The 24,428-nt window shown below is 40.4% G+C and overlaps 2 protein-coding genes and 1 long non-coding RNA gene across 4 annotated transcripts in view; 2 read left to right on the top strand and 1 right to left on the bottom strand.

Moving 5' to 3' along the window:
• The window catches only part of DENND2C (DENN domain containing 2C), an 87,200-nt gene extending 78,305 nt beyond the window's left edge, over positions 1 to 8,895 (top strand). For both annotated transcript variants that reach the window (NM_198459.4, NM_001256404.2), the window contains 3 exons: positions 3,793 to 4,029; positions 4,272 to 4,358; positions 6,114 to 8,895. In NM_198459.4, coding sequence (NP_940861.3) covers positions 3,793 to 4,029; positions 4,272 to 4,358; positions 6,114 to 6,145 — 356 coding nt within the window. In that variant the 3' untranslated portion in view covers positions 6,146 to 8,895. The remainder of the gene's footprint in view (positions 1 to 3,792; positions 4,030 to 4,271; positions 4,359 to 6,113) is intronic.
• On the bottom strand, positions 4,126 to 9,902 carry LOC105378914 (uncharacterized). Its single transcript, XR_947719.4, has 3 exons — positions 9,346 to 9,902; positions 9,107 to 9,220; positions 4,126 to 4,985 (listed from the first exon to the last, which is right to left on the bottom strand). It is a non-coding gene; the product is annotated as an uncharacterized LOC105378914 (long non-coding RNA).
• A 227-nt stretch (positions 9,903 to 10,129) lies between these two features.
• On the top strand, positions 10,130 to 24,188 carry BCAS2 (BCAS2 pre-mRNA processing factor). The gene is made up of 7 exons (NM_005872.3): positions 10,130 to 10,246; positions 10,354 to 10,446; positions 14,987 to 15,057; positions 15,994 to 16,155; positions 20,995 to 21,045; positions 21,673 to 21,753; positions 23,489 to 24,188. Exons 1-7 carry the CDS (start codon positions 10,154 to 10,156, stop codon positions 23,613 to 23,615), a joined length of 678 nt encoding a protein of 225 aa, NP_005863.1. The 5' UTR covers positions 10,130 to 10,153; the 3' UTR covers positions 23,616 to 24,188.
• Positions 24,189 to 24,428: the final 240 nt, after the last annotated feature.

The following is a 24,428-nucleotide window of genomic DNA, read 5'->3' as shown; positions in this document are numbered from 1 at the left end:
TTGAAAATATTTTTAAAAGAATAGAAGAAAATATTTTATGTCAATAAAACAGTGGTGGGGTTCTTAAAAATACGGCACAAAGAGCAGAGACCATAAAGGAAAAGACAGGTTAATTTGACTGTGTTAAATCTTTACATTTTCTTTTCGTCAAGGGACACCATGGAAAAGAGATTTTAAAAACTAGTTACAGACTAGGTGAAGATATCTTGAATATATATAACTATCAAATGAATAGTGTCTAGAATTTATTTTTTTAAAAAACACCTGCAAATCAGTAAGAAAAAGATAAACAATCCAATAGAAAAATGAGGAAAAGATAGGAACAAACATTCAAAGAAGAAGAAACATGATAAGCCCATAAATAATTGAAGAGACATGCAACCTCACTACATCATTTACATTCAGGGAAGTGTAAATGTAAGCCACAATGCAATACCATTTTTTATACCCACCATATTCACAAAAACTAAAAAATCTGTCCAGGCACTGTGGTTCATACCTGTAATCCTAGCACTTCGGGAGGTCAAGGTGGGAGAATCACTTGAGCCCAGGAGTTCAAGACGAGCCTGTGTAACACAGCAAGACCCAGTTTCTACAAACAAAATTAAAACATTAGCCAGGAGTGTTGATGTGTGCCTGTAGTCTCACTACTCAGGAGGCTTGGGTGGAAGGATCACTTGCGCCCAGGAATTTGAGGCTGCAGTGAGCTGTGATGGTGCCACTGCACTCTAGCCTGGGCAATAGAGCAAGACCCTGTCTCAAAAAAAAAAATTAAGTCTGACAATATCAAGTGTTGGTAAGAATGTGTCAAGTAGTTCAACCACTTTGAAGTTGGCATTATCTAGTAAAATTAAAGGTGTACATATCCTACAACCCAACAGTGTAGTTTGTAAATACATACCCTAGTGAATCTCTTGCACATGATCACTAGGAAACAAGTTCAATAATTTTTTTTTTTTTTTTTTTGAGACGGAGTCTCGCTCTGTCGCCCAGGCTGGAGTGCAGTGGCGCAATCTTGGCTCACTGCAGGCTCCACCCTCCGGGGTTCACACCATTCTCCTGCCTCAGCCTTCCGCATAGCTGGGATTACAGGCGCCTGCCACCTCGCCCGGCTAATTTTTTGTATTTTTAGTAGAGATGGGGTTTCACCATGTTAGCCAGGATGGTCTCGATCTCCTGACCTCGTGATCCGCCCGCCTCAGCCTCCCAAAGTGCTGGGATTACAGGCGTGAGCCACCGCGCCCGGCCAAGTTCAATAATTTTTATAGTGCCATTATATGTGATAGCAAAAACTAAAAGCAGGGTGAATATCCATTTTCAGGAGAATAAAGCCTTAAGAATGAATTTTTTTTTTGAGATAAGGTTTCATTCTGTCAACCAGGCTGGAGTGCAAGTGTTGTGATCATGGCCCACTGCAGCCTTTATCCCCTATGCTCAAGCAATCCTCCTTCCTCAGCCTCTTGAGTAGCTGGGACCACACTTCTGTGCCACCACGCTCAGCTAATTCTTTAATTTTTTGTAGAGATGGAGTCTATGTTGCCCAGCCTTGTCCTAAGCTCTTGGGCTCAGGTGAGCTGCCTGCTTCAGTCTCCTGAAGTGTTGGGATTACAGGCATGAGCCATTTTAGCTGCACCCAGCTAAAAATGAATCTTAAAAACATATATTGAATAAAACAGTAAGTTGCAGAAGAATACAATATTTTGTATACCGTTCAAAGACATACAAAAACCTACTAATATGCTATTGGGGTTTTATGTGTGTATAGTGAAACTATAATGCAGGGCAAGGGAATAACAAATACAAAATTCCATGGTCACTCTGTTGGAAAGTAGAAGAAGAATGCCATTGGAGTCGCATAGGAAACTTCAAAGACATTAGTAATGTTCTGTTTCTAAGCTTTGTTTGTGGTAGAGAATTTATTCATTTCACTTGTGATGTTATAAAATATTCATACATATCAAAGAATATGTAAAGTATATACATTAAAAAGGAAAGAATAAAGAAATTATAGAAAAACATAATTTTTAAAAGAAAGAAATTAAGATGTAGCAGTGAGGCAAAAGTGTTGAAGATAAATGCAGTGTTGGGGCTGGGTGTGGTGGCTCATACCTATGATCTCAAGCACTTTGGGAGGTCAAGGCAGGATAAGTTCAATACCAGCCTGAGCAACATAGCAAGACCCCATCTCTACAAAAAAAAATTAATTAAAAAAAAGAAAAAAGATAAATGCAGTGATGAACATGGATTCTCAGCTGCAGAAGGAAAGAGATGAGAAGGAAGGGTGTTGGACAAAATATAACAAAAACCTAGATTACAGTCAAAATGTAATTCAGAAAGAGACCTTGGAAATCACCTGGTCAGCCCTGCTAGCTGCATAGATATGGACAGGCCAACTGAGAAAAGTGAGCCACCCACTATTATGCAACTGCTTTATGGTAGAACTCTGACTAAATTTAGGTTCCTGATTCCCATCCTGTGTGGATCCCTGGGAAAAGAGCAAGAGACAGTGTGAAGAGGGCGGGGGGAAAAAGACGATTTGGATATGGAAGAAAAAGAGGGAGTGTAAGTCGAATCTGAAGTTTGAGCCTGGGACCTGGAAGGCAATATAATGTAGTATATTATAGGGATTAAAAATCACCTGACTTGTGAGTCCAGCATCTTCACTTACTAGGTGGGATGACCCTGGAGAATTTATTTAATCATTTGGCATCTCAGTTTCCTCTGTAAAAGAAAAATAAAAATAATAGATTATTATGTTTGTAGAAGCACTTAATACAGTACAACATACCTTTAGCACTCAAATCACTATTTTTATGGAATAATTATAGTGCAGTATGAAATGGCAATGTCAGCCAGGCATGGTGGCTCACATCTGTAATGCCAGCACTTTGGAATGCTGAGGTGGGAGAATTGCTTGAGCCCAGGAGTTTGAGACAAGTGCCTGGGCAACATAGCAAGACCTTGTCTGTATTTTGGGGAAAAAAAATCTTTATTTAAAAAAATGGGAATATTGAGAGGGAAACTTATTTGGTGGGGAAATATAATGGGTTTAGCTTTAGATATGTATTGTTTGTTTAATTGATTCATAGTCCAAGTTCCAAAAAGAACCTGATATAGTGACCTTTAGACAGATGGAACTTATGTGCTAATGGGACAGCCAAATAATAACCACCCGTAGGTAGCCTGAAAATGTAGAAGATGAGATAACAGGGCTGGAAAACTAAGGTTTGGAATTACAGTATTATCATAGCCAGCTCTATCTCTGTGCCAGTTAGCCCTTTACGGAAGGGAATGTTGAAGAGGAGTGTCTGAGCACCATGCTCAGGAAGAGAAAGAAAGGACAAGAGAAAAATAACTGCTTTGTCATCAAGTCAGGAAAGGAATCAGGAAATCAGAAGAGCATAGAGTTGTAGGGGACAAGAGAAATGAGGAGGTAGTTAGCACAAATGCAGCATGGAGCTTAAAGGAGATAAAAATAGAAAAGCAGATTAAATTTGGCTGGCTCTCACCAGTGGCCTTTGAAAGTGCAGTTAAAATGAAATCAACAGATGTGCAAGCCAGGTTGCAAGATGTAGAAGGAGTATGTATGGGAAGAAAATGAAGGGAAGGGTAGAAGCAATTAGCCTTTTCTAGGTCGTGCAGAAAGAAAGTGAAGAATGAACACTCCTAGATTTATTCTCAGTCCTTTAATCTATAACTTCTTAGGCACGACTTCCATAACCAGAGCCAGTGTTTCCAGATACAGATAACTGAGGAGATTTTTTTCTTTTTTTCTTTTTCATGTTGCAGCAGATGTGACACTCAACTCTCTGGTGTCCGAAGCATTTGTCAGGTTTTTTGTGGAGTTGGTAGGACATTATTCTTTGAACATGACTGTCACTGAGCGTGGGGAGCGTGTTTTCCAAAGGGAACCATTCCGTAAGTCCCACACCTCCCGAAGTGTACGCCACTTCCTGGATCTCTTCATGGAAACTCAGATGTTTGCAGGATTCATCCAGGACCGAGAGCTTCGGAAAAGTGGAGTTAAAGGTCAGTTTCATTATAAAGTTCTCCCTCTCTATTTAGTGAATACCTTGAAAGATTTTACTATATTATGAATAAAAAGTATTGTAAAGCGACAAGGGCTTAAAATCTGAGTTGTTTATTATGAGAATTATTTTGTAATATTGTTTTAGCCCTGGAAATAATACACTGGTTATAAGCACAGAATTTTATGTAATTCCCAGTCTGGAGTGTTACACAGTTTCACCAACATGAGTTTTTCCTTGTAGGTTTGTTTGAGATCCGGGCCATCCAGTATTTGGAAACAATTCCTGAGTCGGAGCCCAGTGGGATGAATAGAATTTTGCGGAGTCTTGGTTAGTTGCTGTGTTTTCCTGTTAGATAAATGTGGCTGAAGACCAGGCGCGGTGGCTCATGCCTGTAATTCCAGCACTTTGCGAGGTCAAGTAAGGAGGTTTGCTTGAGGCCAGGAGTTTGAGACCAGCGTGGGCAACATAGTGAGACCCCATCCCTACACAAAATTTTAAAATTAGCTGGGCATGGTTGGGCATGGTGGCTTATGCCTGTAATCCCAGCACTTTGGGAGGCTGAGGCAGGTTGATCACCTGAGGTTAGGAGTTCGAGACTAGCTAGCCTGTCCAACATGGTGAAACCCCATCTCTGCTAAAAATACAAAAATTAGCCTGGTTTAGTGGCAGGCACCTGTAATCCCAGCTACTTGGGAGGCTGAGGCAGAAGAATTGCTTGAACCCAGGATATGGAGGTTACGGTGAGCAGAGATCACACCATTGCACTCCAGCCTGGGCAACAAGAGCAAAATTCTGTCTCAAAAAAAAAAAAAAAATTAGCTAGGCATGCTGGCACATTCCTGTAGTTCTAGCTACGCAGGAGGCTGAGAGGCCCGAGGGGGATCGCTGGAGCCCGGGAGTTTGAGGCCTCAGTAAGATGATCTTGCCACAGATGACAGAGTGAGATTCTTGTCTCTAAAAAAATAAATAAATAAAAATTAAAAAAATAAATAAAAATAAATAAAAAATAAATAAAAATAAAAAATAAATGTGGCTGAAAAAGCTTTGCAGTAAGTGGGCCTCATCACAAAAGCTTTATAATCAGATCAGCAATATAGCCTTAAATAGGCTGACCATAAACCATGATGCTAGTTTCAAAGTGTTTTGGAGAAAAAGCAGCATTTTTCTCAAAATTTGGGATCCCTCATCAGAGTGGTCTGTGGGGCCATTTCCCAGAGATGAACTTCCCTGATATAAGTTTATTTATTTCATGATATGTTTGCATATCATCATTATTAATCATTTCTAGGACACATTCCTTGGAGAATCTTATAAAAACCATGGTCCTTTTTCCCAGAAAAATGTATTTACAGCATATAAATAAATTTTGCACATAATTTTAGGCTGCTCATATACCCCATGAAGTCTATCTTTGGTACTCCAGATTAAAAACACTTGGTTTAGAGGGACTTCTGAGGCAAAAGAGGATTTCTTACAAGTCTCTAATTTTCTACTTCATACAGAAACACATTTATGATTTTTCAGTAATAGTTAATTAGTATGATACAAGAGAACAGGGGTGTGGCTAGCCTAAAATAATGAATAACCTATATGCTACGATATTTATATTTTGTCTTTGAAATATATGCCCCCTAATTAGGCCCTGTCCTTCACTAGCTGACAGACCATGGACAAATTAGGCCTTAGGCTGTTATTTCATCTTTATACAATGGGGTTAGATTAGATCAGTGGTTCCCAGCTCTGACTACATTTTATAATTTCCAGAGAACTTAAAAAAAATTTTCCCCTGGGCTCCAGGAAATCTCTGGGGAGAAGCCAGGTGATTTTAACCTATAGTCAAGGTTGAAAACCACTGGATTACATGATGTCTGAGTTCTTTTCTGCCGCTACAATTAACTAGACATATGGGGTTTGGGGTTCATTTTTGTTTTTGTTTTGGGGGTTAAACACATCAACTGAGTTTGAGATGTCAGCTTAACTCTTGGGCTGTTCTGAATGACTGACCTGTTAATCCCTTACCTCAAATAATGTACAATAAATAAAAATGAATTGAGCATTCACTGTACTTTTCTTTCCCTTTAGGAAGCAAAATGAAATTTCTGCAAAAGAAATGAAATCTCTGATTGTCTCCATCCTGAATATACAACAGAAAGTGCCAAAGAAAATATTTTTCTAAGGGTCAGGATCCCATGAAGTATTCTACAAAATTCTTGAAATTTTAAAAGGTTAAAGAGCGAGTCAGGCTGTTAGAGGAGGATTCTCCTGTTGCTGCTGTAGTAATCACTGGAGAATTGTTGGGAATGGTCTGGCACCATGCCATCTTTACTCTGTCTCCATTTTTTTTTTATAGCAGCCTTTTCTATGTGATTCTTGGGCTCATTCTCTGTTTTGTGCTTTGTCTGTGAAAGTAGTTGTGTTTCACAAGGAAAAGCCTTGTTGTTGTTACATTTAAAAAATAGCTCAAAGATGAGAATAATGAGAGAAATGCTGAGTTTAAGGTAGTAGAGAGACATGATGGAAATGGAGAACACTAGCCTTATACACATAATTCTCATCACTGAACTATCATGGCCCCTTTAAACCCATGGGCTGTTTGACCTGGGCTAAGGAATAGACTCATCACATATCTCCATTGTTTTGCCTTATATTATATCTAGGGGAATCTCACTTAGGAGGAAGCCCTACTTGTAATATTATAAGGTACTGTTATTAAGTACCTTATAAAATTAGACATCTTGCAACTCCTCCTCCAAATTATGTGGCATTTGAGTAGTTTGCTTGTGCCTCACATGTCAACATTAAACTTTGTGGAGGCTGGATGCAGTGGCTCACACCTGTAATCTCCACCACTTTGGGAGGCTAAGGCAGGAGTTTGAGGGTGGGAGTTTGAGACTAGCCTGGGCAACATAGCAAGATCCCATCTCTACAAAAACATTTTAAAAATAAGTAAATAAATTTAAACTTTGTGAAATTATAGCTAATATGAAAATGTCCTTTCAAGGGCATGGGAGCCACCTTTATTTTTTAGTGTCCACCATGTGCCATGCACTGTGGTATATGTATGCATATCATCTCAACCAATCCTTAAATCAACCTTATGAGATAGATATTTGCATCTCCATTTTACTAATAAACTGAGGCTGGGTGCTATGGCTCACGTCTGTAATCCCAGCACTATGGGAGTCCAAGGCGAGTGGATCATTTGAGGTCAGGAGTTCGAGACCAGCCTGGCAACATGGTGAAACTCTGTCTCTACTAAAAATACACACAAAAAATTAGCTGGGTGTGGTGGCAGGTGCCTGTAATCCTGGCTGCTCGGGAGGCTGAGCCATGAGAATCGCTTGAGCCCAGGAGGCAGAGGTTGCAGTGAGCCGAGATCGCGCCACTGCATTCCAGCCAGGGTGACAGAGCGAGACTCCATCTCAAAAAAAAGAAAAAAGGAAAAGAAAAAAGAAAAAAACAAATTCAAAGAAGTTAAATACGTTGCCCAAAGTTGTACAACACAGAACTGAAGCCAAGACTTTTATGGACACAGAAAAAGTTGGTTAGTCCTACAGATGGAAATTTCATCTCAGTAGGATTATATAGCTATTTCTTTTATTAATAAAAATTTTCTATTAAGTGTACCAGAGCCACTTTTCAGCTCTGAGGATAAGGAACTTTATAGGTGCCTAGATGAGACTCTTTTTATTCCCCTAGAAATGTTGAAATTTTTGCTCTAATTAAATTAGACTCAAAATATGAACATTCCTTGAACATATACCACTTAGTCATCCAGACCTTTAATATCTAAAGTAGTAGTAGTAGTGATTGGAAAGAGAAAGTTTTCAGTGATGGTGCAGTGTTTTTTTTGTGTGTGTATGTGTGTGTGTGTGTGTTTTGTTTCGGTTTTTTTTTTTTTTTTTTGAGATGGAGTTTCGCTCTTTTTGCCCAGGCTGGAGTGCAATGGTGTGATCTCGGCTCACTGCAACCTCCGCCTCCCGGCTTCAAGCAATTCTCCTGCCTCAGCCTCCTGAGTAGCTGGAATTATAGGCACCCGCCACCACACCTGGCTAATTTTGTACTTTTAGTGGAGACGGGGGTTTCACCATGTTGGCCAGGCTGGTCTCGAACTCCTGACCTCAGGTGATCCACCCACCTTGGCCTCCCAAAGTGCTGGGATTACAGGCATGAGTCACTGCACCCGGCCTGTGTGTGTGTGTGTGTGTGTGTGTGTGTGTTTTCAAACTCATGGGCAAATTCAAGTTCAGATGGTGCACTTTTCATTGATTAATGTTATAGCAAATGTCAGTTTGTTTTCTTCAGTTTCTGCTGATGGTTTTAACTGGCACAGAAAGTATTTATTCAACCTTACAAAACTGTGTAAGTTGTATTGTGATACAGTTTATTGACTTGTACAGTATTGTCATTACAACCCATTCAGGTATGCATGAATCTGAAGCAGAACACCATTTAAGACTGGTGCTGTATAATATAATTCCTACAGATGTGGGTCCAGGGAATAGAACTGAGCCTGTCTTTTTTTTAATGTTAAGCAGGTTACCCCCAGTGGGGCTTCTACTAGACATCTCTCCATTTGGTCTCTTCTTACACTCCAACCCAGCAGGAACAGTTAATAATTGGATGTTTATAAAATGGGGGTAAAAGGGTTTACTGTGATGGATCCTGGCTATCCCTCTAGGAGGAGACCTTTGCTTCAGCAATGGTGTCTTCATCCTCGCAGCCTGAAGCTGCTTCATTTCCTTAGGTCTGTTGTGTTTTCTGTAAAGTGTTAGGAATTCTGGATATTTTTGTAAAAGAATCAAGATTTGTATAAAATGTTGTTTACAGATCTTTTAATGAATAAATACATAAACCCCCCACAGATCCCTTGGAGAATTCTTTAAGATCTTTTATGTCACTTAAATCTATAGCTAGCACATTTACCTAATGGTACTTCGGTAATAAGAATTAGTCTTAGACTGACCAGGCTTAATAACGGAGGTCAACATTTCCAGGCTCTTGGCAGACAAAGGCTGGGTCTAGACTGCACACTGGGCAGGGCATATAGTCTGACAACTTTATTTGGTTTTTACCTGCTTAATCAAAGGGAGGCTGCTTAGTCCAGGAGCCATGCAGAAGAGAGTGCATGGGCAGCAGCTTGAGTGGTTCGGAGGCAGTGAGGAATGCCATTCTATTACCGTTAAGTCCTAAAGGCAAAATGACAGGATTTTTAAGGAACTGAGGTTCCTTTTGATACGCAGACCATAAAGCTTCACAATTTTAATTGGAGACTGGCGCCCAATTCTAGAGTCTCTTTAAAAAATGTACTTACCCAATGCAAAGGTTTTAAGGGCACCGAGGGGGAAGGATAGTTGGGGTACAGCAAGGAAGTAAAAGAGGAATGACCCGGGGTGCAGTGGCTCACGCCTGTATTCCCCACATTTTGGGAGGCCAGGAGTTCGAGGCTAGGCTTGGCAACATAGAAAGGCTCCATCTCTACAAAAAAAATTAAAAATTAGCCAGGCATGGTGGTGTGCACCTCTAGGCCCAGCTACTCGGGAGGCTGAGGTGGAAGGATCGCTTGGGCCCGGGGGGTTGAGGCTGCAGTGAGCTATGATCACGCCACTGCACTCCAACCTGGGCAGCAGAACAAAGACCCTGTGTCTACAATAAAAAAGGAAAAAAGTCTCGCACAGAGGAAGAGAAGATTAAGGGGAGAAGGTGGGAGTAAGCAGAGGTGGGAAACCAGTTTATCTCTCCCCGCCAAATGCTGCAGCCAGTTCCCTCCAAAAGTGTTAAGGGGCTCCCTTTCCAGATATCAATGTTTTGGAGGAAACGAAAAGCCCCAACTTCAAATCGCCGCCATTCGCAGGCAAAAAAAGGGGCAGTAAGCAGAGGACAGGAAATTGAGGCCTTTCGCTGACGCAGACAAGCCAAGACGTTACGTCACGTCCGCCCAAAACAAACCAGCCCGGCAATTTCTAGATACCGGGCGGACCCGCCTTCAAAATTAGCAACTGAGCATGCACTAACGTCAATACGGAGGGAACGTGATTACATCAGTGTCAGGCGCCGGCGTAATTAAATATAACTGAGTTTACGCAGACGCAGAAAACGCAGGCAAACCTGAGGTCCTCAGAATGGCGGGCACAGGTTTGGTGGCTGGAGAGGTTGTGGTGGATGCGCTGCCGTATTTTGATCAAGGTTATGAAGCCCCTGGTGTGCGGGAAGCGGTGAGTGCGGGGTGTCTTTGTAGCTGACTCACTGCTAGCTGGCTCGGTACTGAAAGAAACATGTTACAATTTGCCACTTCTACCCTGGTCCCTATTCTCTTTCTTAGGCTGCAGCGCTGGTGGAGGAGGAAACTCGCAGATACCGACCTACTAAGAACTACCTGAGCTACCTGACAGCCCCGGATTATTCTGCCTTTGAAGTAAGTATGTCTTGAGCCTAGGTGTGAACGAGAATTCCTGTGAACCTTTATTTTGGATTGAGAGCTTTAAATTCCAGTTTTAACCATTGCCTGCATAGCTACTACTTACCTACTGTATAGGTGTCAGTCTATTGAAAACAACTAGATAGATAAGTCTTCTCCGAGGTTCTTATTCTAAGATCCATAGGAAGACTTTCTGGGGCTCCACAACTCACTTAATGCAAAAATTTGTGGCTACCATTCTTTGAGATAGGATCCATGCGTAAATTCTCAAAGGGACCCTCTCCTGCCAAGATTCACTCTACAGCAAGTGATCTAGGGTTTTTTAATATGTATAAGCCTAATTACCTAAGCTCTTTAGAACCACTGGAGAGTGGCATATTAAAGTCTAGTTATTTACCAAATGTATGTGATACGACTGAAAGGACAAACCATATCCAAGTGTATACTACTTTTTTCTCAGCCTTCTCCTTTTTTCTGTAATCTATCCGATGTTTTTATTAACACATTTCTGATTAATGTAGGCAATAATTTTCACTGATATGAATACTTTACAAGTGCTAGGTGCCATTCTAGATTCTGAGATCATAGAGATATATGGGGTTTCTTTTTTAATATATTTTGTTTTCTTTTAATTTTTCTTTTCTTTATTTAAGACAAACATCCTCTCCAAAAAAGATAGGGTTTCTGAATACAGAAAAATACAATACAGTGAGGAGCTAGATATATAAAACAAAAAGTTTACAATAGTATGTATAAATGTGTAATAATATGTAAAGGACCTATAGCGGAGGGTATGTATAAGGACAAGAGGATTAGAGAAGGGAGTGTCCATGATTGCCTAAGGAGTCAGATGCTGTTCTACTCCACACATTGAGTATGATACTATTTTAAATGTATAACCTTGAAGTACACCCAGGATTCTAGTTAGGGTCTAGTTAGCTAAATGAAATGTAAGATATCATTTCTAAATTATTGGATTCAAGTATTTCAGTATGTACAGCTTGGAGGATTTTTTCCCATTATACCTAATCGTTTATTTATGAAAGGATTGTATTATTAAAAGGCAGTATTTAGCTGGGTGTGGTGGCTCACACCTGTAATCCCAGCACTTTAGGAGGCTGAGGTGTGAGGATCACTTGAGACCAGCCTGGGCAACATAGTGAGACCCTTTCTCTACAAAAGAAAAATTAAAAAGTTAGCCAGGCATGATGGCATGCACCTGTAGCCCCAGCTACTCAGGAGGCCAAGGTGGGAGGATCACTTGAGCCTGGGAGTTCAAGACTGCTACAGTGAGCCATGATAATGCCATTGCACTCCAGCCTGGCAATAGAGTGAGACCCTGTCTCAAAGGGAAAAAAAAAAAAAAAGATATTATTTACATTAAAGTAACATGAAAAAATTGTTAGTTAAGTTTGTTGTTGTTTTTGTTTGAGACGGAGTCTCATTACGTCACCCAGGCTGGAGTGCAGTGGTGCCATCTCTGCTCACTGCAACCTCCACCTTCCGGGCTCAAGTGATTCTCCTGCCTCAGCCTCCCGAGTAGCTGGGATTGCAGGTGCCTGCCACCATGCCTGGGTAATTTTTGTATTTTCAGTAGAGACGGGATTTTACCATGTTGGCCAGGCTGGTCTTGAACTCCTGGCCTCAAGTGATCCACCCACCTCAGCCTCCCAAAGTGTTGGGATACAGGTGTAAGCCACCATGCCCAGCCTTGGCTGAGTTTTAAGTAGAAGACGTATGTTCCTATGAACGTGTTTTCCTATGCTTTTTCTAAATATTTGTACCTAGGTGTAGATGTTAACCACATTAAGAACTAAGTACAGTAATGCTTCCTTATTGGACTGATTTCTGAAGGTTTCAGATAACTGCATTCAATCACAGACTTTTTAAAATACTTTTGCCAGTTTTTTTCCTTCTCTCTTAAATACCTTTGTAATTAGTTTACTGATGATTTAATTAGTAAACTCCCAGGTTCAAGTGATTCTCCTGTAATTAGTTTACTGATTATTTAATCCTTTCTTTTTTTGAGACAGAGTCTTGCTCTGGTGCCCAGGCTGGAGTGCAACTCCTCGGCTCACTGCAACCTCTGCCTCCTGGGTTCAAGCCATTCTTCTGCCTCAGCCTCCCAAGTAGTTGGGATTACAGGCACGCACTACCATGCCCAACTAATTTTTGTATTTTTAGTAGAAACGTGGTTTCACCATTGTGGCCAGGCTGGTCTCGAACTCCTGACCTCAAGTGAATCACCTGCCTCGGCCTCCCAAAGTGCTGAGATTACAGGTGTGAGCCACCACACCTGGCATCCTTTCTTAGTAATAGTTGGTAATATTTACTGGGTTCACTGTCTTACTTGGTGCACATAACAGCTCTATAAACTATATAACTATGTTTGCTATCCCCATTTTTTAGCTGGGAAAACTGCAGCTTAGAGAGGCTAATTGACTAAGACCTTAACTGTTCTTCAAACTGCCTCTGAAATTACTCTTTCATTAATTCATTTAACAACTATTTACGAAGGTCTGTTCCATTCTGGGTATTGGAGAACAGTATCGGCAGGGTCCATACTCATGAACCTTAAAATCTAGAGTGTTGAGACAGACAATAAATAGATCAGAAAAATTGTTGATAAATGCTGCACAGAGAATGATAGTGATAAAGTGACTGGGCGACTCCAGGTTGGGTGGTTGAGGAAGGCCTCTCAAAGCTAAGATGAGACTACTCCATGAGCAGGGATTGCCCTTGCCGCTCCATGAACACTGGCTTAGTCTTTGGAGAGAGATGAGCTAAAATTCCAGATTTATCACTTACTGAGCATGTGAGTTAGTTAAGGGTTCCTCCTATGCTACATGGCTCAAGACTACTTATACTGCATTTTTATACTGCCTCGTGTTTAATTGGCTGTTTACTCCTTGTCTGTCACTGCAGAATTTTCTAGCTAGAATGCCCTGGTTTTTTTTTTTGCAGGAAACTAGGTAACTACATTTTCTTAAGATTGTGTGTAATTTAGCAGTAGCCCCTGCAAAATACTTTCTGCAGAAAGAAATGCTTAATACGAAATTTTTTGTTTTTTGTTTTTTGTTTTTTTGTTTTTTTGTTTTTTTGTTTTTGAGATGAAGTCTCACTCTGTTGCCAGGCTGGAGTGCAGTGGTGTGATCTCAGCTCACTGCAACCTCCACCTCCCAGGTTCAAGCAATTCTCCTGCCTCAGCCTCCGAGTATCTGGGATTACAGGCACGTGCCATCACGCCCAGCTAATTTTTGTATTTTTAGTAGAGATGAGGTTTCAACTTGTTGGCCAGGATGGTCTTGATCTCTTGACCTCGTGATCCACCCACCTCGGCCTCCCGAAGTGCTGGGATTACAGGCATGAGCCACCTCGCCCGGCCTAATAAAAACTTTTAAACATTCATGCAGGCTTCTGTAAGGCCTTTGATACTTATTTAGTCTAATTGTTAAGATAGTTGAAACCCTCAGAAAATTAAAATTACATGGAATAACCGAAGTATTACTACAAAGAAATATTTTAAGCAGTTCTTTATCCTCAGGGTAGGAAATGTGCAGAATGGAAATGGGTTAGGACGTTGGCCCTAAAGAGGAACAGCTATACTACATTTACTTGCGAACAGTAAAATTGCTAGAGAAGATAGTGAATATAAAGAAAAGACACTTTGGGAGGCTGAGGCAGGCCGATCACCTCAGGTCAGGAGTTCGAGACCAGCCTGGCCAACATGGTGAAACCCTGTCTCTACTAAAAATACAAAAATTAGCCAGGCATAGTGGCAGATGCCTGTCATCCCAGCTACTCGGGAGGCTGAGGCAAGAGAATCGCTTGAACCCGGGAGGCAGAGATGAGCCAAGATCGCGCCATTGCGCTCCAGCCTGGGGGACAAGAGCGAGACTTCGTCTCACAAAAAAAAAATAAATAAATAAATAAATTATTTCTTGGATTTCTGGAGGCTGGAAAGTGTACGGTTCACAGGCTGCATCTGGTGAGGGCCTTCTTGCTGGTGTGGACTTGGTGTACAGTCCTGAAGCAGCACAGGGCATTACATGGCAAGGTAGGGGCACACAAGAGAAAGACAAACTGGCTTTTATAACATACCCACTCTGGTGATAACTTATTAACCCATGAATGGATTGAGCCTTCATAACCCAATCACCTCTTAAAGACCCCACCTCTTAATACTATTACATTGGGGATTAAGTTTCTGTATGAATTTCAGAGGGGACAAACATTCAAACCATAGCACTGTCGAACTGATTCTGATATGCTTCTGGAATTAAGAACCACTGGTTTAGGATTAATCCTTTTCTCTGTGGGCTCCTTAATACATGCCACTTTTCCTGAATGTGAAGTGAGTGAGTGAGTGTGTGTGTGTGTGCTTCAGATTCTAGAGAGCATTTAACTCAGAGAAGAATTAGGGAAAGGTAAACAATTCATTATAATGGGTAGTGTAGCTTAAATCTGTTCTTTGGTGATTGTTAATTTTTAGTTGTCAACATGATCTTAGAAATCTTTTTTCTGATTTACACATCAGACTGACATAATGAGAAATGAATTTGAAAGACTGGCTGCTCGACAACCAATTGAATTGCTCAGTATGAAACGGTAAGAATATTAAAATGGAAATTAAAATTTAGTTTGTAGTAACTCAGTAATGAGCTGAGATTTGTGAAGAATGTATTTGCTGGCTAATATTGGCAGTGTTGGCCGGGTGTGGTGGCTCACACCTGTAATTCCAGCACTTTGGGAGGCCGAGGCTGGTGGATTGCTTGAATCCAGGAGTTTGAGACCAGCCTGGGCAACATGGCAAAACCCCATCTCTACCAAAAATAATTAATAATAATAATAATAATAATAATAAACGTACCTGGGTGTGGTGGCACGCACCCGTGGACCCAGCTACTTGGAAAGCTGAGGTAGGTGGATCGCTTGACACCCCCCAGGAGATGGAGGTTGCAGCAAGCCGAGATTGTGCCACTGCACTCCAGCGTTGGGGACAGAGGGAGACCCAGTCTTGAAAAAAAAACTATATATATATATATATAGAGAGAGAGAGAGAGAGAGAGAGAGGCAGTGTTGAAGGACTGACTGGGTAGTATGAAGAGAGAATAGAAGGAGTCATATCGCTTCTCATTTTTTTCTCTACCGGCGCATGGGTATGTTAGTGGATGGGTGGGTGTGAGTATTTTACAAAAATGGTAGCAAACTTTTTTGTCTACTGCTTTTTCCCCTTAATATATTACTGACATCTTAATATTATTAAATATTCTTCAGTAACATTTAATAGCTAATGTAACAATCTTTTATGTGAATGTAATGTTGCTTATTTAACCAGTTCACATTGAAGTGAACATAATGGTGCTAAATCATATTTGTAAATTGATTGTTAGCATATATCGGTTTCTTATTATTGCAAGGTTTACATCCTTAGTCTTCTGTAGTTTTTATACTATATGGAGACTCATGGGACATTCTACTGAGAAGAGATGTAAAGGCTTGGCAGTATAGATGGTTTTATTTTATTTTGTTGTTTAATTTCAGATATGAGCTTCCAGCCCCCTCCTCTGGTCAAAAAAATGACATTACTGCATGGCAAGAATGTGTAAACAATTCTATGGCCCAGTTAGAGCATCAAGCAGTTAGAATTGAGAATCTGGAACTAATGTCACAGCATGGATGTAATGCCTGGAAAGTATACAATGAGTAAGAACCTTTTTCTTCATCTTCTGTTTTTTTTGTTTTTTCTCTTTTCTTTCCATCTCACCCAAAGTTTTAGTACATTTTAAAAGTATGGGAGGTGCTGGGTGCAGTGGCTCATGCCAGTAATCCCAGCCCTTTGGGAGGCAGAGGTGGGTGGATTGCTTGAGGTCAGGAGTTCGAGACCAGCCTGGCCAACATGGTGAAACCCCATTTCTACAAAAAAAAAAAATACAAAAAATTAGCTGGGCATGGTAACGTGTGCCTGTAATCCCAGCTACTCTGGAGGCTGAGGCATGACAATTGCTTCAGCCTGGGAGGCAGAGGTTGTAGTGAGCCAAGATTTTGCCACTGCACTCCAGCCTAGGCGACAGAATGAGACTCTATCTCAAAAAAAAAAAAAAAAAAAGAAAAGAAAAAGAAAAGCCGGGCGCGGTGGTTTACACCTGTAATCCCAGCACTTCAGGAGGCCGAGGCGGGTGGATCACCTGAGGTCAGGAGTTTGAAACCAGCCTGGCCAACATGGTAAAACCGCATCTCTACTAAAAAAAAAAAAAAAGATTAGCCGGCCATGGTGGCGCTTCTGTAGTCACAGCTACTCAGGAGACTGGGGTAGGAGAATTGCTTGAACCTGGGAGGCAGAGGTTGCAATGAGCTGAGATTGTGCCACTGCACTCCAGCCACAGTGACAGAGCGAGACTCCATCTCAAAAAACAAACAAAAAAACCCCACAAAGTATGGGTAGGGGAAGTGTGATAAAAATAATATAGCTAGACTTTGTCTTGGGATTATGTTCTAGAACTGCAACCCATATGAAAGGCCACTATTTTGAAACCCACCTCAAAGTTCAAGAGTACTAACAGGACCTAAACCAAACTACGACATTTATTGTATAATATTGTAACAAAACTAGTTCTGAGGTCCCATTTGCAGAGCACCACTTGATAGAATGTTATCAAGCGTTGCTTAAACAGTTGATTCTCATTAGTCATGGGTTATGTTCTTTAAGTCCTATGAACACTGAATTAGCAAATACTGTACCATTTCTCCTAGGGGAAATATATACATATTCATGTGCACACATATACATATCTCTCAAATAGATTATAATCTTAAATCCTAAAATAAACTCATCCTGGTAGACTTCTTTATTTTATAAAAGAGAAAACAAAGTTGAGAAATGTAAAGTAACTTTCTTGAAACTGCCCCACTAACAGATCCCAGACTTGGAACTTGAACTTCATCCTCTGGTTATTTCTGTATGAGAGCTAAAACAAGAAGGCAAAGCACCTCCTTGTTCATCCTCAGCTGAAAATGTGCATGCTCAGCTGCTCAGATTTTTCACCACTGTGCACATGTCCATGAATGACTGCAAAACACTACAAGTAGTAATTTTGGGATTACAAATAAATTTGAGCAAGTATTTGTTGTCAAAACAAGCCACTGACATCCTGTTTCTGTTCCATGTAACTAGCTCTAGCTTTAGTATTTATTGTCTATCTAGAATTCAGATTCCTTGCTTGCAAAATTCCGTGGTTAGATTATCTGCATGGCCCCTTTGTGCCCTAAAATTTCCTGAGTGTCTATTCACAATTTAAGAGAAAAAGGCCACTGAACTTCATAACAGTATGTACAACTTTCGTTAGAGTATGTTTCCTGAAACATAGCTATATAAAATAAAGCAAAACCATGAAATGATAATACTGTTTCTCAAATCTTCAGAATTATGCATTTAATATTTGTAGCCACATAAAAATGATCCAGTGGACAAAATCCAGAATTTGGGAAACTCTACAAAGCCAACAACTAACTTTCTTTTATATATCTATATATTGCAAGGGGGGAAAAAGAAGAAAGAATGGGATTAGGGTGATTAAGAAATGTAAGCGACATCAATAAATCTGTTTCACAAAATGGAAAAATGTGATTCTTCTCAAGAAGCTTTATCTAATGGAAGAGATAATAAGTTTTATGCCAAGTAACCAATAGTCCATTTTTGGCAATATGGGGGCAAGTGCTACATTGTGTGCTGTGGTCTGTAAACTAAGCGTTAAGAGATGGGGCATTGCCAGGCGTGGTTCACGCTTATAATCCTAGTGCTTTGGGAGGCTGAGACAGGAGGATCACTTGAGGCCAAGAGTTTGAGACCAGCCTGGGCAACGTAAGTGAAACCCTGTCTCTATAGAAAACAATAAAAAAAATAGCCAGGTATGGTGGTACACACTTGTAGTCTGTTTCAAAAAAAAGAAAAAAAAAGATGGGGCATTAAGTTGAAGGTTGTTGAAGAAAGGTGAAATTGGGATGTTTAGAAGGAAACAAGGAAAACATTCCAGGAATGGAGAGCATAGATGCAGAGGAAAAAATATGACATTGAAAAGAACACTGCTGTCAACTTACCTGAAAACCTTTAATAATTCCCTATTACCTGCAAGGTAGAGGCCAAGTTTTTTTTTTTTTTTTTTTTTTTTTTTTTGGAGGTGGGGGCGGGGGGCGGGACAGAATCTTGCTCTGTCGCCCAAGCTAGATTGCAGTGCCACAATCTCAGCTCACTGCAACCCTCCCGGGTTCAAGCAACTCTTCTGCCTCAGCCTCCAGAGTAGGTGGGATTATAGACACCACCACGCCTGGCTAATTTTTGTATTTTTTGTGGAGACGGGGTTTCACCATGTTGGCCAGGCTGGTCTTGAGCTCCTGGCCTCAAGTGATCCTCCAGCATCAACCTCTCAAAGTGCTGGGATTACAGGTGTGAGCACCCGGCTGGGCCAGGCTTTTTAACGTGGTATTCAAGGGCTTTTCCTTACTACCTCAACTGTAGACTTTTAACTCAACCCAAACTAGTCCTTTCTCTGGTGATTATTGCAAATCCTGCCTCTGGGCCTTTACTTGCCCTTGTCTTTACCTGTTATACCCAAATTCAGCTTGTTTAGGGCTCAGCTCTAGTTTGCTTACTTGTCTTCTTCCCTGATTGAAATTCTGCTTCTAGTATTGTCTCCCTCTTCTGAGTAACTATACACAGAATTATTGTGCACATCACTTGTTTTCCATTTAATCACAAAGTGCTCTATAGTGCTTCACATTCCCCTAAGCATATTTTGTCTCCTCCAAATTCAGTGGACACTTCTCCAGAGGAGATGTACTATATTTTATCAAAGTATATTTAAGAGGAAGGGTGGGAGAAGGGAGAAGACAAACTAAACTTTCAGGGAGAGCCAATTCAAAGGAAAGCTCCCTGTTAGTGGTCAGAAGTCTGGAATAGAGCACTAAAATCAATAGTGCTCAGCATGGAGTGATTGTCGAAGTCAAGGAAAGGGGGATGACCTGAGGGAAAGCCTAGAGAGGCACAGCTGTTTAAAGACTGAATCTTGAGAGAATTGCAGCTAATGCAAGGAAACCAGTCAGTAGAGGTAGGAGAATAACTCAGGTGAGCAACAGAAAATTTGAGTCACAAAAGCCAGGAAACAATATTAGATTTAGAGCAAGAACACATTAGGGCCAGATGTGGTAAAAATGGACCCTGTAGGTGATTGATCCACTGCCTTAAGAGGAAATTGATATGATGTGGAATTATATCTTAATAAAGTTGTTATTTAAACTTAAAAAAGAGATTAAAATCTGTTTCATTACTTCTCTAAAATAATTATATGGTACTCTGTATTATTGAACTTTTCCCCTGTGCTAGTTACAGCTGACCTGGACTGGTATCTATTTTTTATTTTGCTATGCATATGTTACATGCAAATATGGACTGATATCTCATTCTACAACAGTTTTCTTTTTCTCACCTCTCTCTAGTTAGCAGTAGACAGGAGGAGAGAATGACAAGGTGAATGTATATGCAGAAATATAGAGATAAAAGGGGGTTGAGAAATAAAATAAGTGGGTACTCAGATATATTCCATCTTTTCTATGACAAGAAGTCATGACAGTTTAAGAAGTGACAAAAGGCCGTGTGGCTCACACATGTAATTCCAACACTTTGGAGGCTGAGGTGGGGAGATTGCTTGAGCCCAGGAGTTCAAGACCAGCCTGGACAACGTGGTGAAACCCTGTCTCTACAAAAAAGTAATGAAAATTAGCCGGGCATGGTGGCTTATGCCTGTAATCCAAGCTACTTTGAAGGCCTGAAGTGGGAGGATCAGTTGAGCCCAGGAGGTTGAGGCTGCCATGATTGCACCACTACACTCCAGCTTGAGCAACAGGAGAGCAAGACTCTGTCCCTCCCCTCCGCAAAAAAAAGCTGGGTACAGTGGCTCACGCCTGTTATCTCAGCACTTTGGGAGGCCGAGGCAGATGGATCACTTGAGGTCAGGAGTTCGAGACCAGCCTGGCCGACATAGTGAAACCCCATCTCTACTAAAAAAAAAAATACAAAAATTAGCAAGGCATGGCAGTACATGCCTGTAATCCCAGCTACTTGGGAGGCTGAGGCAGGAGAATCTCTTGAACCAGGAAGCAGAGGCTGCAGTGAGCTGAGATCTCACCACTTCGCTCCAGCCTGGGCAACAGAACGAGACTGTCTCAAAAAAAAAAAAGTAACCTAAGTACTCCAAGATCAGGCAGGGCATGGTAATCCCAGCAGTTTGGGAGGCCAAGGTGGGAGGATTGCAGCTCCTTGGGAGGCTGAGGCAGGAAGATTACTTGATCATGGGAGGTGAAGGCTGCAGTGAGCCATGATCACACCACTGCATTCCAGCATGAGTGACAGTCCTCGATTATGGAGTGTCCAACATAGTTCTTGGCACAGAGCTCCATAAATATGATTTTTGGCAGAAAAACTTGAAAAAGTTCACTTTTAATTGGTACTATTTTAATGTATTTTAATCTGATTTTCCTCTTTTCCTTCAGAAATCTAGTTCATATGATTGAACACGCACAGAAGGAACTTCAGAAGTTAAGGTAAATTGTTTTTTCCTATTACAGAATGAAGTTTAAGTGAACCTTTAATAAATAGAAAATAGGAGGAAAAAGAAAGCAAAGAGACTGCAGCCAGATGAAAGTAAACAATTGATCCACTCTCTTTGTTCAACATCTGACACTGGGTTTGCCCTACCTAAGTAGAGGAGAAATAGGCCTGAGGTCTGAAAACATCTCTGCCACTTGCAGCTTGCAAGTCTGCAAACATAGAAAGGCACTTTTAGAGTGGGAAAAGTTGCAGAATAACACATATAATCTGATTTTTAAAACCAATTTCTACACACACATATAGGAAAGCCTGGAAGGACACCCAGCAAAAACTCAACAGGAGTTATCAGGAAAAAGGAGACATGCATGAGAGGGGGGACTTGAGACTTGTAATCTGTGTGTGCTTGTGTGTGTGTGTGTGTGTGATTTCTCACAATGAGCATGTTTTATGAAACTTGTAATCAAAAAATAATTAGAAGAAAGGTAATTTCTACAGTTAGCCTATAACTGTACATAATATTGTTCTCATGGGATTAAGATATTCTCTTGTGTTATAGAGTTTTCTGTTGATTTAGGTCTTACATTAAAATGTAATTGGGTTGTATAAATAATTTTTTACAGAAAACATATTCAAGATTTAAACTGGCAGAGAAAGAACATGCAACTCACAGCTGGATCTAAATTGAGAGAAATGGAGTCAAAGTGAGTATCTATAATTCCATCATCTTTTAAATTGTTTAGCCCTTTCTAAGGTCGATTCAATAATATGATTCAAATAGCATTCAAATGGGATGCCACAGGTAACAAAGAAATGCTATTTTCTGAATTCACCCTTCCCCGTCTCTGCCTCTTTATAAGGTGTTAAAGAGAACTATAAACGAGAATTGAACCATTGGCGAAGGATCCTTTGCTAAATTGAACCATTGCTAAAGGATTCTGGTCTTAGAATACCCTGTTTTTAGTCTAGTATTTTTGGCCTTGAATAGAACTCTACCTTTATTCTCCTTTTAAACGGAAAAAAAAAAAAAATAGGCACGGTGGCACATGTCTGTAGTCCCAGCTACTCTGGAGGCTGAGGCAGGAGGATTGCTTAACCTGGAAGGTTGAAGCTGCAGTGAGTCATAATCACACCACTGCACTCCAGCCTGGGCAACAGAGCAAGACCTAGTCTTTAAAAAAAAAAAAAGGAAAAAAATTATTTTATAAAATCTTGTAGGGAGGGAGATTTCATACTTGGTAATTTTTTTGTACCTCAGGTTTATGCATTTTTAAAAATGTTCTTTTACATACACACATGTATACCTTTATACAATATAATCTTGAATATTTGTGTCATTTCTCTCTTCCTTTTTGCTTGGCCATTCCCTTTCTCCCTTCATTACTCAAGTCATTCTTGTTCCACCGTCTCCATGTACGTCTTACCAGTCTCGTTGGTACCCTTTCACGCTTTTTCCTCAATTTAATAAACTATTGCCTCTTTCCTTTTTGTTGATTAAATACTATCTTCATCACTCTTTCCTCTTTCTTCTGGTTTGCAAGTTCTCTCATCTGTTTCTAATTTGCTTTTTTATTAAACTTTTATTTTTAGATAATTATAGATTCACATGCAATTGTAAGAAATAATACAGAGAGCCAGGTGTGGTGACTCACATTGTAATCCTAGTGCCTTGGTAGGCCAAGGTAGGAGGATTGCTTGAAGCCAGGAGTTCAAGCCAGCCTGGGCAACATAACGAGACCCTGTCTCTACAAAAAAATGCTTTTAAATGAGCCAGGCATGATGGCATGCACCTGTAGTCTAAGCTCTTCAGGAGGCTGAGGTTGGAGGATTGCTTGAGCTCAGGAGTTCCAGGCTAGTGAGCTGTGATCACACCACTGCATTTCAGCCTAGGCAACAGAGCAAGACCCTGTCTCTGGAAAAAAAAAAAAAAAAAAAAAAAAGAATACAGAGAGATTCCATGTACCCTTTACCTACTTTTCCACAATTGTGCCTTGATTTTTTTTTAATGGAAAGTTGAAAGTGAAGGTTAGGCCAGGCATGGTAGCTCATGCCTGTAATCCCAGCACATTAGGAGACCGAGGTGGGTGGATCACCTGGGGTCAGGAGTTTGAGACCAGCCTGGCCAACGTGGTGAAACCCCATCTCTACTAAAAATACAAAAAAGTAGCCAGCTGTGGTGGCGTGTGCCTGTAATCCAGCTACTCGGGAGGCTGAGTCAGGAGAATCCCTTGAACCCGGGAGGCGGAGGTTGCAGTGAGCTGAGGTTGCGCCATTGTTCTCCAGCCTGGGCAACAAGAGCGAGACTCCGTCTCAAAAAAAAAAAAAAAGTGAAGGTTAGTGTTATAGCTCTGGGTGAACATGTGTATACATTTAAAATAAAATCTTCTAAGAGAAGTTTTACATTGAGTAATTTTTTTCTTTTCTTCCCCCCCATTCTAGTTGGGTATCCCTGGTCAGTAAGAATTATGAGATTGAACGGACTATTGTTCAGCTAGAAAATGAAATCTATCAAATTAAGCAGCAACATGGAGAGGCAAACAAAGAAAACATCCGGCAAGACTTCTGAAAAGACAATTTAGCAGGTAGAAGAAAAGTTGGGCTTTCACAAAAGGCATCTGAACTTTTAATGAACTTTGAAGGACAACAGCATCTTCCCAAAACCATTGATGTTTAAGTGTTTAGAAATCATAGAAGGTGTAGGCTGCTGTGGTAATTCTATTTGTATATCTCAACAGAATTAAAATGTCTAGCTTGGTGGTATTTTTATAGCCATAAAAGAAAATCTTTAGGCTTTCAAAATAAGGATGACTTTAGAATAATATTGTGTCATAGAATTAATTTTCAGCCATGTGGACCATATTTTGTATCCAAGGATCCTTATTTAAAGCTTTCAACATGTACAGGAAGTTGGAAATTTTTGGTTTATGACTTTGTCTAATAAAGAGATAGTTCTAAACACATTCTTGATCACCAAACAACTTCAGAAAGACAGTGACTGTACAGTTATCATTATCATCATCATCGTCATCATCATAGGTAACAGTTATATCAAGCTTAATATGTGCTGAACATTGTTCTGAACACTTTAGGTAGATGAACTAGATGTATGTGAATAAAAATTATTTGGTCCTCACAAAAACCTCAGGAGGCGGTTACTGTTTTTCTCATATGTGGACATGTAACAGACACCAGTTAAATAACATAACTTGCCAGAGTTTTATAGCTGAAAGTGTCAGCTTTTTTATAGAAAGTTGTCAGTCAGGTTTTGAACCCAATAGTCCAGCTCCAGAGTTAATGTTCTTACTTCTCTACTTGTAAGGAATTAAATTGTGTAAAAGATTCCTGCCCAATTCAGAAAAAATATTTGCAACATATCAAA

The sequence above is a fragment of the Homo sapiens genome, chromosome 1 (genome assembly GCF_000001405.40).
Source record: "Homo sapiens chromosome 1, GRCh38.p14 Primary Assembly".
In the NCBI taxonomy this organism is placed as follows: domain Eukaryota; kingdom Metazoa; phylum Chordata; class Mammalia; order Primates; family Hominidae; genus Homo; species Homo sapiens.
Note: the sequence above shows the minus strand (reverse complement) of the source record. Positions and strands in the feature narration are given on the sequence as shown.

Coding starts and splice junctions, on each gene's coding strand:
- BCAS2 (NM_005872.3), top strand. CDS start 10,154: ATGGCGGGCACAGGTTTGGTGGCTGGAGAGGTTGTGGTGGATGCGCTG. Junction 21,046..21,672: donor AAGGAACTTCAGAAGTTAAG/GTAAATTGTTTT, acceptor AATTTTTTACAG/AAAACATATTCAAGATTTAA. Junction 21,754..23,488: donor TTGAGAGAAATGGAGTCAAA/GTGAGTATCTAT, acceptor CCCCCATTCTAG/TTGGGTATCCCTGGTCAGTA.